The sequence below is a fragment of the Homo sapiens genome, chromosome 2 (genome assembly GCF_000001405.40).
Source record: "Homo sapiens chromosome 2, GRCh38.p14 Primary Assembly".
Taxonomy (NCBI): domain Eukaryota; kingdom Metazoa; phylum Chordata; class Mammalia; order Primates; family Hominidae; genus Homo; species Homo sapiens.
In genome coordinates, this window is record NC_000002.12 from 46,005,567 (window position 1) to 46,019,235 (window position 13,669).

The following is a 13,669-nucleotide window of genomic DNA, read 5'->3' on the forward strand; positions in this document are numbered from 1 at the left end:
TGGAGATAAGTCAGTGGTAAGGGCAAGACTGTACCCATGCTGGCTGAGGGACACACTCTCAGAAACCCTGCCATCAAACCTTCCTTGGAGGTCACCACCATGACCCAGACCTTCTTACCCAGGAGTAAATAAAAGAGCTTCGGGGGTCATGCACCAGCCCTGAGGCCACAGAATAATTGGTCTCAGTCCCTCTTCGTGCTACTCCAATTAACTTTCTGTGTCTTTATACTCTACCTCATTCCAAATGAGATTTGAAGCATTCATAAGTAGCCTGATGTACTCTGGGGCTGCAGAACTTGTAGCTATTTTCCCAGACCAGTTTGGGGGTTTTCACGTGTTCCTTTCTGAGGCTGAGATCCCCTTTGGGAGCTTCAGGGAGACAGGGTCATATAGAAAAGAGACCCCAGGTAAGAGTTCAGAGACCAGGGTTTGTAGGCCTGGCTCCTGCCCTGCATGCTCTCTGGCTCTGAGCTCTGCCATTGGATGGATACAGTGGCAGGATACAGCGGCCCCAGGGCCTCTGTTCATCCCACTTGACACAGACGCCAGGATTTCCCAGTAGTGATGTTAGCACAGATGTCCCTCTGAGCGACATTATTACAGAACAGAAATAAGACATAGTTTCTTTTTCTTCCCTTGTAAAGACACATAGAAAAACCTTTTCTTCAAGCTTTGCTGTCCCCAAACAACTATGTTTTGCCTTCCAAAATTCATTTAATAACTGAGGCTTTTAGCTCTATTGTGAGATTAAAAGTTATTTAGTCAAGCTAAGTGATAGGTGGATAACTGCTGAACTGGCAAGGGGAGTGTCTGCAGACTCAGCAGCTTTCCCCGTCTTCACCCTCCCCAACACGTCTCAGAGGAGCCAAACTCCAGATCTAGGAAAGATCTCCGGATTCCTTGAGTAAGCCCTTATGGGACTCTGTCCTTCTGAAAAGAAGCTGAAGATCTCTTTCTGTCACTCATGCCTAATTCTCATTCCCAAGGGTTAATAGGCTATGTTCCCCTTCCATAATCCAAGTTATTCACAAGCATCATTTAAAATCGGATTTTGCTCAAGATGCCCATTTCCACACAGAAGAGTGCGTGTCTTGATGAATGAGTTGCTAACAGTAAAGCTTCTTCAAATAGAAAAGGTCAGAGGATCATCCAGCATTATCTCCCCCAGGTAATTCAGGTCATAAGCTCTAGAGCGGGGCACAAGACTGTCTCGTAGTTGAGAAATTGTACTGAGAAATTCCCGCCCCATTGGAGATAAGTTTGCAACATGTCACTTGGGAAAGCAATTCTTTTGTTAATAATAAGCCCATTGCTCATTTTGTTAGATAACCTTGTGTAAGATGGGTATTTAGAAGAAACCCGGCAACAAGGCTGAGTAAAGGTTTTTAGAAGGTATGAAGGTTTCTACCTTCAGTGATCAGCCACCGTTCTGATGGCTCAGTTGTTGAAATAATTATATCACCAGTGATTACTGTGATGACAGTTCTTGATTCGTTGTTCTCATCTTCAGAGGAAACTTGAAGGATACCTGTGACTCTGCAGAATTCCAGAGAGGGCCCAGATTTGTGTGCTTTACCTAGAACAGTGGAATAGGCTACTAGCCAAAGGGGGCTTTCAGAGAGACAGCCAGGTCCAGTGTAATCTGGAGTTGACAAGGGCAGGGAAGGGACTGTGTCCTCCTCCTCTTTGCATACCTAAGCTCTGCTGCGCATTAGGTGCCAATAAGAGTGTGGTGAACAGATGAAGGAACATACAAAGGGATGTCACACTGGATCTGTTGTGAAGAACCAGAAAGAGGACTGAGAGCTTACAGGGGAAAGTCTGAGTGTTGAGTCCTAATGTAACAGGCTTAAGAGGTATGCACTAATGCAATTTCTTGTTCCCCTTGGCCCTAGAAATAAAAGAACTTGAGAACAACATTCGGAAAGCCTTGTCATTTGACAACCGAGGAGAGGAGCACCGGGCAGCATCGTCTCCTGATGGCCAGCTGATGAGCCCCGGTGAGAATGGCGAAGTCCGGCAAGGCCAGGCCAAGCGCCTGGGCCTGGATGAGTTCAACTTCATCAAGGTGTTGGGCAAAGGCAGCTTTGGCAAGGTCTGTGGCACACACGGGTGGAACTGCTGGTTTTGTTCTACTCCTTAGCATTGTTTCGTCTGTTTGATCTAAGATTGAGAGAGGAACCTTTCAGCCTGATCTCGTTAGGTTTTCTTTCCTTTTTTGTAAGTGCAAATGACCTGAGGCCAAGTAGATAGGAGCGCTGGTTCTGCTATTAATTGGCTATATGAGACTTTCAAGTAGTGATTTAATCTCTTTGGAATTCAATTTTTCTCATTTGTTGAATGGGGACAGGAATCAAGTGAGATGGTAGATGAGAAAGCACTTTGGAAAGTTTTAAATGCTCAGTGTTCCAAATCAATAGTAGTGTCAATACATGTCTTCCCTCCTTCAGAGATCAGCTGAAATTCTGTTTTTAATTTGTTATGAAGACTTTGAGAATGAATCTCTGCCCTCAGCAAACCTAGGGTTTAAAGCAAATTTAGCATGCATTACTTTGGAAGGTAAATGTTATTTAACTGATCTTTCTGGCATGTAATAAATGTTCTGTTTATCCTTTACACGTGGCAAGAAAATGGGAATAATCATCTCATGCCTCGGATCAGGGTCCTCTGCCCTTGGTGCCATTCTCCATATCCTGTTCCCACTGAGATGAACACAGTGGTGTGGGGTGTGGCCTTTAGTATGCTCAATAAAGCACTAAAGGTGATCAGCCACCATTCCGATGGCTGGGTGAGATGGAAAAATTAACTCCTGTTCATTTAGAAAGAAGATGAAGGGGCAGGGAGCAGAGGAAGCTGTTTGCATTTCACCTGAGATCTCTGATTGTTCCCTGGTTCTGTTCAGAGCTAAGCCTGGGAGTCACCTTTCTGGGACCCCCTGAGAAGTTCTGGGAGGTCCTGCTCTGGGGACCAGGAAGCTCCTGGGATCACATGCCCTGGCATGTCCTGGACTCTTGAAAGCAGCAGCCTGTAGGTCAGTCAGCTGGCCCATCCCACCTGGTTCCCAGCCGTCTCACCTGCCCCTATCTCACCCTGATACCACTCTGGTGGGAAGGTAACTGGGGTTTACTTAAATGGCAAAAGCTGAAGCAATTACATTCTTTAGAGACTGACTAAATAAAAAGAGGTCCTCTGGTTAGGCATAACTCTGGGACCTGAACAGGATGTGGTCTAATTTTGAGCAAGACTCCGAGATTCTAGGTTTTCATATAGTGTAGGCAGAATGGGAACTTAGATGACTTTGGAGCATTTAGGTTATCTCTTAGGAAAAATCACAGCCAAAGTTTGAGCCAGTTTTAAAGAGTCTGTAAAATACGCGGGCGACAAAAAGTCTTCAGGTTAACATCATGAATTCCCTCATTAAGTTTCTGATGGCTGCTTTTTAGCTTTGATGACTTACATTGGAATACTGTACTTAGGAGTTACTTATTTAAGAAGAGAAAGGCTTGTGACGTTTGTAGGTAAATGAGTGCAAAAATATCAAATGATAGGAACACTTTAAGAACATAGAACTGTTAATTAGCTCTCTTGAAAAGGAATCACGTTTCCAGCTTCAGAGTTATAAAAGAAACCATAAAGGCAAACAAGGACAGATTCAACTACATAAAGATACATGATTCTTTTCAATAGAATAAAATAACAGAAAATTATAAAACAGGCTTAGAAAACCTTTTACAGAAAGTAAAGGGTTAGTATCTTTATATATCACATGTGTATAAATTTGTAAGAAATTAATATGATAGCAGCATAATTAGACAAAGGAGACGTGAATAATTTACACGAAAAGAAATACAGTCAGAAAACAGTTAATTTTAAAGTTTCATTTTAAGTAAAAATAGCATCAAGGTAACATTTCACACCTATTAAGTGAGCAAAAATACTTTTTAAGTGAAACTACTCAGTATTGGTAAGTCACCATGAAACTCCAACACTTCTACATTGCTAGTGGCACATTGTATCACACATCCTTTCTGAAAATAGGAAATGTGCAAAATGCTTCACCCTTTAATCTACTTATGAGGGTTTCCATCTTACAAATGTAATCCAAGAGAAATTGTTTTAATTGTGTACAAAAATACTCAATGCAACTTATATAATACTTAATGATTAGATATAACTGAAGTGCCTAATTTGAGGGAAATGGTTAAATAAATTATATTTACTTGAATTGAGTATAAGCAACCGTGATAATAATGGAGACCATATGGAGAATGTCTGTAAGATAATGTTCAGTTAAAAATAGTTACATTATTTTACTGTACTGTAACTGTAAAAATAGTTGGTGTACTGTAATTGTAAGTATGACAAACACATATAAACATATGAATAACCATTCAACAGATGTGCATTGAACTTCTCTTTTCTATGCCTGGGCATTGTGCCAGAGATCAAAAATAAATAAATTGTAGTAACTATTAGAATGTAGTAACTGTAGAACGGTAGTAATTGTAGAATAGGAAGTTTTCTTAAACATTATGTATACATCTTGAGAGGGGGTCTTGCTATGTTGCCCATGCTGATCTGTAACTCCTGGGCTCAAATGATCCTTCTACCTCAGCCTCCCAAGTATCTTGGGTGCATGCCACCACACCAGGCTTGTTATAATATTTAAAATTAAAGAAAAAACAGAATTCGTTTTTGAAGTATTTGGTATTAGCTTACACTTCTTCTTTTTATTCCATACATGCATAGATTGATGGAGGCAATTGATTGATTGCAGGTCATGTTGGCAGAACTCAAGGGCAAAGATGAAGTATATGCTGTGAAGGTCTTAAAGAAGGACGTCATCCTTCAGGATGATGACGTGGACTGCACAATGACAGAGAAGAGGATTTTGGCTCTGGCACGGAAACACCCGTACCTTACCCAACTCTACTGCTGCTTCCAGACCAAGGTATGTTAGGAAGAAGCTGGCTGGCTGCCATGTTGGGGCATCTTGACTATCAGATAAAATACCAATTTTAGACCCTCTACATTGTTCTCTCAAAGACTTTGTAAAGTGGGATGGGTTTTACCCTTGAAAAGATCAGGATGTATTTGAACAGCATCTTCTTTTTTAGGGCACAGGATTTTCCATTCAAGGTTGTGCTTGTGAAGGGATGAGAGAGCTGTAGAATTCTTTGCAGCCAGAGTTGGACAAAGCCAAATGGCTAAACTCACTGTTTGCTCATTGGAAAAACCAACAAGTGTGGTTAGTCCTTGCTCTGCTCCTAACTTTCTATCACTAATCAAATCACTTAACTTCTAAGTTATTTTCATGTCATATGAAAAAGAGTAAAGGCCACCTTAATCTCTTCTAATCTGTGTAATGTCATCTGAAATAAAGGATGTGAACAAATGCTTAAAATTTCATAGTGAAACACAAATATAAGGCAGCATTTTTAATTTACCGCATAGGTGTCTGGGAACCAGAAGGTGGCAGTAAAGAAACAAAGATAATCCATAACTCCATGGTAGAGTCTGACTCGAGTATTATTAACTAATTTGTTACCTGTTTTTAGTAAAGAAACAGCAATGTTCTTCATGAAGCTCTAATTTTGTTATCCTTTTTGAGGGGTTGGGAGGAGTTAAAGTCTTTTAGGATCATTATGGATGTTTGTAGTATTTTGCTTCTTGAGAAGGCAAAGACAGACATCACCTGAAACTCCTAGCTGTGGCTTATGTGGAACCCAGACCCTGAGGGTGACATCATGGAGAGGTGATACCTTGCTTCTGGGTGTATTCTCATCTCCATGTCATTTTGAATGCCAGTTTTTCCACTTAAAATTCAATAGTTATTCATTGAGTCATTTGGCAAACTTTTCTTTTATTATATTTCATTATATCCTTCCCGTGTATCTGATGCCATGCCAGGTGCTGGAGATACAGTGGTGAACTAGACTAGTCCCTGACCTCATGGAGTTTACATTATCTTTGGTACACCGTTTCCCAGAGAGGATTTCTCAGAACCCCAATCACTTGAGCAGCTGTAAGAAGAAAGGACTCTGTGACCCATAGTTGGAGTCACTGCAAACGTAACCTCTCTTAGTCTCAACACACGTATGTTTATTAGCATCCTTGAGGAGACCTGCAATGAAAACAAAATTACCTTTGTTTAATCTACTTTTCCGAACTTATTTGATCCCAGGGTCCCCCATCTCTCTCTTACACACACATACACATGCACCCACACACACACAATGCCCATTCCATACTGAGGAACCCTGATCCAGTGGAATTTTTCCTATCCTTCTGATCTCTCAGGAGAATAAGAAATATCGTCTGAAAATCTGGAAATCATTCTGCTTATCTTTCAAGATGGACACATATTTCTTTGTCTACGAAACTTTCCTCAGAGACCACTATTTAATAGGAATCTATCCCTTTTTCTGCACAAGTATAAGAATTACTAACTCTTCTCATTTTTCATGTGTGTTGTGTAATGCCTAATATTTATGGGTTTGTGTGTGTACAGAATCCTGAATAATAGAGACTCAGTGATGGAGTTAACTTTCTTCTTTTTTCCACTAGAGCATAATTTTAGATTCATGAGAAATGTATCATATTTTGTATTTTCCATGGTGCCTATCACAGGGCCTCACACTTGACAGGTACCCACGGACAGAATCAAAGACTTGGAAGATTTTTTCAAAGTCACCTTATCTTTCTTTATCTCTCTCTCTTTTCCTTTCTTTTCTTTTCCTTTTTTTTTTTCTTTTCTTTCCTTTTGGTACCAGTGAGAAAATTGGGTTTCAGAGAAGTAAAACTATTTTGCTCATAGGCACTCCATCTTGGCAGAGTCAGACCTGGCATCTCATCTAGTCTCAGGGACTCCCAAGGTAGTGGGGCCTTGCTCTGATTCACATTGCTAGTTTCTTGTGCCTGATCCAGCACAGGGTCCCTTCTGTTGGAGGAACCCTCCCACTTCCCCCTGTCCCCAGCAGGTAGCCCTCCCTCTCACTATCTGAGGTGGCTTTCCAGGCAGGGAGCCACTCTGGCAAGTTTTCTTTACACCATTATCAAGAAGCCCAACATCCTAGGAGGGGTCCAGTTTAGTTGTGAGGGCTCTATGGAGCCCCTGTACGTGGTGGATCATGGGAAGCCACGTTGAAGGTCAGCTTGGTGAATGAGTGAGGGAGTGGGAATGGATGTCTTCAATGTCAGCAGTGTTCTCCTTTGTGCGTTGTAGAATAACAAGGCTAAGGATTCCTCATCATATGGCAGCTTTTGGAGCACAAAATGGTGTTGAATAACACCAGGGATTTCTTTTATGGCAGAACAGTGATCAAGCTAACATGGATGTTGTCATGGATGGCTGTAGGGTGAGGATGGGCAGAGAAGGAGCTTCCTCTGTAGTTCAGATATTTACTATCTTTTCTCAGGCCACTGTCAGGCAGCCACAGTCACAGGAGCAGCTTTGCACCAACTCTCTCATGCCACCTCAGTTTCATAGAATACTTAGCTTTATGTAACAGATGCATATTCACTGAATTTTTCTAAACTGAATCATATTTTAACCTCATAGAAGGATCTTAACTTACTTATGAAAGGAACCTGATGAAGAATCAGCTTATAAACCTTCAACTTAACTTTTTAAAAATGTGACTTTCCCTATGACAAACCAACAGTTTATCATAGTTTTAAAGAGTAGCTATTATTCACCTGACTCTGAGGTAGATGCTGGGGTTATTAACCAAAGGAAGACAGTTCTCACGTGGAAGGATTCACTGATAATAGATTGGGAGGTTATTCTAAATTCCACAAGCTAAGAGGGAGTAGCAAACAGCATTGAATAGTTATGTTCTAGATGGGAGTATTCAAACCAAGAAGACTCAGGGGAGGGGGTCTTCCCTACGATCTAGTGGAAGAAGTGCGATCAAGCCAGGCTTTGAAAGGTAGAGAGGATTTGGACAGGATTTGGGAATAGCAGCTGGGTTTGGTAGCCACAGAATTCAGTCTTGATTGAGTTTCACTTTTCCTGAAAACAAAGGACAGTTCCTCTGAGCCACCTTAAACCTGGTTTCCACTAAGACTCTGATACAACATTCAGGAACACAAAGACCCGATTGCAATCCTATTAAGATTTCTTTCATGCTTGTTTAATTATGACATACAGAACAGCAATAATATTAAGTCGAGTTTAATTATTTTTAGGTGAGCCTTTATTTTTCAATATATCGGAAAAAAATGGTCCTTTTGGAAACATTCCTTTGAGAACTTCTTCTGAGAGATTAGACATTGCTTCAGACTGCACACTACATACAAGTTGCCTGGAAAGACTCAGAAGTGTGTAAAGTGATGTCACCATATCTAATACGGTGACCAATGGCAATGGTCATATGAACCCATTGGCATCAGTCATGATGACATAGTCAGGTTCAGGTCTGGTCAGTGCAGCCCAGTGAAGGGCCAACTTACAGCTGAAGAGAGATTTGGGCTTTTCTTTACTGAGCCCGCCTACCCTTGGCTCATGTGCTCCATCCGCTCCATGGGATCTAGAAAGGCAAAAAGCAAATAAAATGGCTCCAGCTTTCCAGGGCTAGTGAGAAAAAGCAGACAGAACAACAAATTAAGCCAGTGGTTTTAATTTCAGTCAAATTCAAACCAGTGTGTCTTTGGGATGCAAGAGTAACCTGAACCATGTAGGGAATTCTACCAAACTTGATTTAATTTACTGTCAAAATATAAAGTACAGAAAGAGGAATAAAGAACTTCTAATTCCAGTCAAGATCAAGTAGCCACATTCGTCCCAGGTCCTCCCTCTTACAACTAAAAATCCCTGGACATAATTCTTATTTTATAAAGGTAGGGTGCTTATCAGCTTATCAAAATTGGCATAGTCACAAAAAACTGTATCTGTTGATGTGAATGAAAGACCAAAATTTTTATATTTAAAAATTCTAGAAGACTTTTAAGTGGGTAACATTGTCAGTAGTGTTTAATATTTTCTTGCATATGAGAAAAAAAATTTTTTATACATCCACAGTTGTTTCTTGCTATAAAAAAATTATGGCCTATAATTGTTTCAATTACAAGTCTTTATTGTTAAGCATCTATGTGCTAGACACTGTGCTAGATTCTAGGGCTACAAAGCTAAAAGATACCAACTCTGAACTCATGCCAATTACTGCCTAGTAGAGAGATAGACATGCAAGGAGGCAGTCAGGAAGGTTTCCTGATGGAGGTAGAACCTACCCTGGACCTGGAAGCATGGGTGGCATTTGCAAGAGGGTAGGGGTAAAGACATGGCTGCTGAAACCTAGAAATTATTTCCAAATCTCATTTGTATTATTTTTCCAATGCTTGAACTCCCAACCAATGCTATCTCCTACTTCTTCCAAGGAAATGATAATGGCTAAACCAGAGCAAAGAAGGAAGAGGAGAAAGGGAGGGTATTTGGAAAATAAGGAGACAGATTCCTGCATCTACAAGATCAGATGCCTATCGGTAGAGGAGGGAGGTAATGCTGTGAGCCCTCCTTATTGGACTGCTAGGCTCTAAAACTTAGGGGCTTGGTCAGGGTTTGTGGGGGAAGTGACTTTTGGAATTGCCTCTCCCAGTTCCCAGGTTCCCATTCAGGCATTGACTACAAGGGATAGGAGAACCACTGAGAGGTAGTTTTGTTTTTTTTTTCTGGAAGTTACAGGAAATGAAATTCCCAGATTTTTAGAGTCTGTGCATTTGTATTTATGACCCCCATTGTTGAAACCATTCTCTCCAACAGGATCCCACAAAACCTGTCTTGAATAATTTCATGATTTTTCCTCTTTAAAAATTTCATCTCTACACAATTCTACCCATCCCCCACCCTTTGGCATTTCCTGCCAGGCCTGGGAAGCCAAATTCTGGAGGGCTTTGCTGCAAAGGAAACAAAGGGTGAACTAGAGAATCTCCCTTAGCCAATCTCCCTTGCTGCCCTAGGGAAAATGCAGCATGGAAACATCCTTACAAAGCAACGGGAGACGTTTTTCAAATGCGTTTGAATCATCTGTGTGAGCACGGGGAGAAGTGAGAAAAGGAGTGTTAACAACGTAGGAGCAAAAGTGTCATTTCAAGGAACTCAACTCTGAAGAACAGAAACACTAAACCAAAAAAAAAAAAAAAAAAAAAACGAAGTAAAAATTAGGCCATTGGTAGATTTTGTTCTAAAGAGACAGCTATGTCAGATTAAATCTAAACGAGCTGACAGAGCCGTTGAGGATGGGTCTCTTTCCTGCTAGACCATACTGTCTACCTGAGGCACCACTACTACTCCGAAGGAGTTGGAGAGTGTGTGAGCAGGTTTGGTGAGTGCTTTTCGAGAAGAGATTGAGATGCTCAACACAATGAGTTGGTTTGTGGGTCAGGCAGCCACCTGGGAATCAATATGCTCGCCAGTAACAGATTACAAGCAGAGATAGCCTCAGTAATTTGCAATGGATTTTAGAGAAATGAGATCCGTGGTAGAGGTTACAGGCTTAGTGTTGGCAGAATCAGTTATTAATAGAATCAGACTCCAGGGAAGTCCATCTCTTTACTTCTGAAGACCATCTTTGCTTGATAGTGGGCTGGACAGCAATGCCATTTATTCTAATCAGCCAATTAACACATCTTTAGTGAGCACCTATGGTGTGCAAATCACTGCAAGATGTGACAAGACTTTTATGGCAGGACCTTTGGTCAAACTAGTTGAGGGGTAAGCTCTACTCTCTTGTGAAGGAATGCACGGGTGTATGTGTGTGGTGGCGTGTGTCTGTGTAGATGAGCTGGCGGTTCTCTGGCCGGTCAGAGAAAGATCGTCACTGGTTTCCACGATCAAGCAAGGCTTCATGGAGCAAGACAACTTCACCCAGGTCTTGAAGCATAACAGGATTCATTCTGTGTGATAAAGGAAAAGTTGTGGAGTTTGTTAATGCTCATGTGTCCCAGGGGCAGAGAAGGATGTGTTGGCTCTTAATCTAACTGCTGCAGCTTCGTGTAACCTCTTTGCATATAAGGAAACCTTACATTTGAATAGGACCTTTGCTTTTAAAAGTGCCCTGACTGGCTAGGTGCAGTGGCTCATGCCTGTAACCCCAGCACTTTGGGAGGCCGAGGCAGGTGGATCACCTGAGGTCAGGAATTCGAGACCAGCCTGACCAATTTGATGATACCCCATCTTTACTAAAAATACAAAAATTATCCGGACACGGTGGCGGGCACCTGTAATCCCAGCTACTCAGGAGGCTAAGGCAGGAGAATCGCTTGAACCCAGGAGGCAGAGGTTGCAGTGAGCCGAGATCGTCCCACTGCACTCCAGCCTGGGGCAATAGAGCTAGACTCTGTCTCAAAAAAAAAAAAAAAAAGAAAGAAAAAAGCCCTGACTTAGATCAGCCATTTTATAACTGCCTAATGATGTCTCTATGAATTCACCTACCATACTCTATGGTTATTCACTCCCCCTTTTTTTTTTCGGAATTTGTTATTGTGGTAAAATACACATAATATAAAACGTGCCATCTTAACCGTTTTTAAGTGTACAGTTCAGTGGTATTAAATGCATTCATAATGTCCATCCATCACCCCTCTCCATCTCCATGCCTCTTTTCACCTTACAACCCTGAAACTCAATACCCATTAAACAGTACCTTCCTATTCCCTCTCCCCACAGCCCTTGGCAACAGCCACTCTGTCAGTCTCAATAATCTTGACTACTCTAGGTACCTCTTATAAGTGGAATCATACAATAATGTCTTTCTGTGACTAGTATATTTCATTTAGCAGAATGTCCTCAAGGTTCATCCATGATGTAACGTATGTCATAATTTCCTTCCTTTTAAAGGCCAAATACTATTCTATCATGTGTATAATATCACATTTCACTTATCATCTATGGATGGACATTTTGACTTCCACGTTTTGGCTACTATGAATAATGCTGCTGTGAACATGGTTGTCTGAATATTTCTTTGAGGCCTTACTTTCAATTCTTTTAGCTATATACCTAGAAGTGGGATTCCTGGATCATATAGTAATTCTCTTTTTAATTTTTTGAGGAACCGCTATACTGTTTTCCATAATGACTGAACTATTTTACATTCCCATCAACAGTGCACCAGGGTTCTGATCTGATTTCTCTATTACTTTGCCCAACACTTATTTCTTTATTTGATAGTAGCCATTCTGATGGGTGTGAGGTAGTATCTCATTATAGTTTTAATGTGCATTTCCCTAGTGATTTGTGGTCACTCATTTTTACAGATAAGAAAACCAAGGCCCAGTCAAGTCTTATAATTTGTTTGCAACAGAACCCAGATTGGAATAAAGGTTTCCCAACAGTCTTTGTTGTTCACCATGTATTTCTGTCTCCTTCTCTGTCCTCCTGTCCAAATTCTCCACTTCAAATAGCCTCACCTCCAAATCCCCTCTTCCCCAATTCCTGTCACACACATGAAAAAGGGTCTGAAGGGGTGTCAGCTCAATTTTACATGAACTCAATGAGGCTGGGATTAAAAAATATTAATGTCCCTTAAGCTGGCAAGAGGAGCAGGGTTGATCAGCCTGTTTCTGGAAATGTTTCTGTTTTCTGAAAGCGTAAGAGAGAAAGGAGGAAAAAGGGGGCATGGGCACAGGAACGATCCAAAATGGGCTGGAGTAGGATGAGGCCCTCACACTTGTCTGTTTAGCCATTGCTTACTGAGCACCTGCTATGTGCCGTGCCATGGGGCATCATGGGGCGCCATGCTGCCTGCTGAGGAACACAGGTGTGGGGAAAGGTAGGTAGGAGTCCCGGCCTTGTGAACTTGAAGCCTCATGGGAGCGTAAAACTGCTGGCCTCTACAGAGGTTACAGTGAGCCGAGATCCCGCCACTGCCCTCCAGCCTGGGCCACAGAGTGAAACTCCATCTCAAAAAAAAAAATTTTTTTAAAAAAAGCCCTTCTGGCCTCTATACAGTGCCCAGAACTCAGTGCTTTATTTTCCTTCAGAAACTGTTGGCCTGATCTTCTTTTGTAAATTGTGTTTTAATCACAAAGATTATTTATTAATTGTAGAAATTTTGGAAAAGTCACAAGAGGACAAAAAAGAAAATAAGAACAATTCACATGACTACTACTAACATTTCGATGTGTATCATTCCAGTTTTAGAAAAGTACATGTCTGTTCATACATATATATTTATAACATCAGTATCATACTCTATGTAAACTGTTTCACTTAGTAATATAGTAGAGCTATTTTCCTTGTCACTAAATATTCTTCAGCCAAATGATTTCTAGGGTTCTACAGTATCTGAGGGCGTCTCGTAGACATTCTGCATCGGGGGTTGCAGGTGGCTGGTAAGTGCCTGGCTTCCTCCCAGCTGATGTTAGCAGTGAATGGACCGCATGCTCTGCCCAGTGCTGGCCAGTGATGGTGCTGCGCTCTCTGCAGCAGAACTGCCTCCTTCTATTTTTATTTCTCTCTGTAACATCAACCTGAGTACAACATGTAAATAACCTATTTGGCATTGACATAATGCAAACTAAGACTTAAATGTCTTTAACATTAAATATGTGTGTATACAGCAGGTCTTTGAATAACCTGATTTTGTTCAATGTCATTTCTTTATAACATTAATGAGAAAAATATCAATTCCTGGCCAGGGCCACTGACTATGTGGAGTTTGTACTTTCT

The 13,669-nt window shown here is 41.2% G+C and overlaps 1 protein-coding gene across 23 annotated transcripts in view, besides 5 other annotated features; it reads left to right on the forward strand.

Annotated features, from left to right (window-relative positions):
• The window catches only part of PRKCE (protein kinase C epsilon), a 536,712-nt gene that overhangs the window by 354,288 nt on the left and 168,755 nt on the right, over nt 1–13,669 (forward strand). For 20 of the 23 annotated variants that reach the window (XR_939695.3, XM_005264428.2, XM_011532980.4 and 17 more), the window contains 2 exons: nt 1,896–2,095; nt 4,778–4,951. Coding sequence is in view for 21 of the 23 variants with exons in the window: in XM_005264428.2 (XP_005264485.1) it covers nt 1,896–2,095; nt 4,778–4,951 (374 nt within the window). In the remaining 2 variants the exon portion in view is untranslated. Of the gene's footprint in view, nt 1–1,895; nt 2,096–4,749; nt 4,952–5,117; nt 13,581–13,669 lie in introns of those variants that run through there. The other 3 variants (XR_007078551.1, XM_005264431.5, XM_047445100.1) reach the window with 3 other exon arrangements.
• Nucleotides 1,521–2,021: an enhancer, noted in NCBI's record as "H3K4me1 hESC enhancer chr2:46234226-46234726 (GRCh37/hg19 assembly coordinates)". NCBI's record gives its function as "activates a minimal SCP1, AML or CMV promoter by ChIP-STARR-seq in naive H9 embryonic stem cells {active_cell/tissue: H9 hESC(naive)}" and the evidence as "EXISTENCE:reporter gene assay evidence [ECO:0000049][PMID:30033119]".
• Nucleotides 1,521–2,975: a biological region, named in NCBI's record as "CDK7 strongly-dependent group 2 enhancer GRCh37_chr2:46234481-46235680".
• Nucleotides 1,776–2,975: an enhancer, noted in NCBI's record as "CDK7 strongly-dependent group 2 enhancer chr2:46234481-46235680 (GRCh37/hg19 assembly coordinates)". NCBI's record gives its function as "activates an origin of replication core promoter dependent on BRD2, BRD4, P300/CBP, MED14 and CDK7 cofactors, with strong dependence on CDK7, by STARR-seq in HCT116 cells {active_cell/tissue: HCT116}" and the evidence as "EXISTENCE:reporter gene assay evidence [ECO:0000049][PMID:35650434]".
• Nucleotides 2,022–2,522: an enhancer, noted in NCBI's record as "H3K4me1 hESC enhancer chr2:46234727-46235227 (GRCh37/hg19 assembly coordinates)". NCBI's record gives its function as "activates a minimal SCP1, AML or CMV promoter by ChIP-STARR-seq in naive H9 embryonic stem cells {active_cell/tissue: H9 hESC(naive)}" and the evidence as "EXISTENCE:reporter gene assay evidence [ECO:0000049][PMID:30033119]".
• Nucleotides 9,647–10,285: an enhancer, noted in NCBI's record as "NANOG-H3K27ac hESC enhancer chr2:46242352-46242990 (GRCh37/hg19 assembly coordinates)". NCBI's record gives its function as "activates a minimal SCP1, AML or CMV promoter by ChIP-STARR-seq in naive H9 embryonic stem cells {active_cell/tissue: H9 hESC(naive)}" and the evidence as "EXISTENCE:reporter gene assay evidence [ECO:0000049][PMID:30033119]".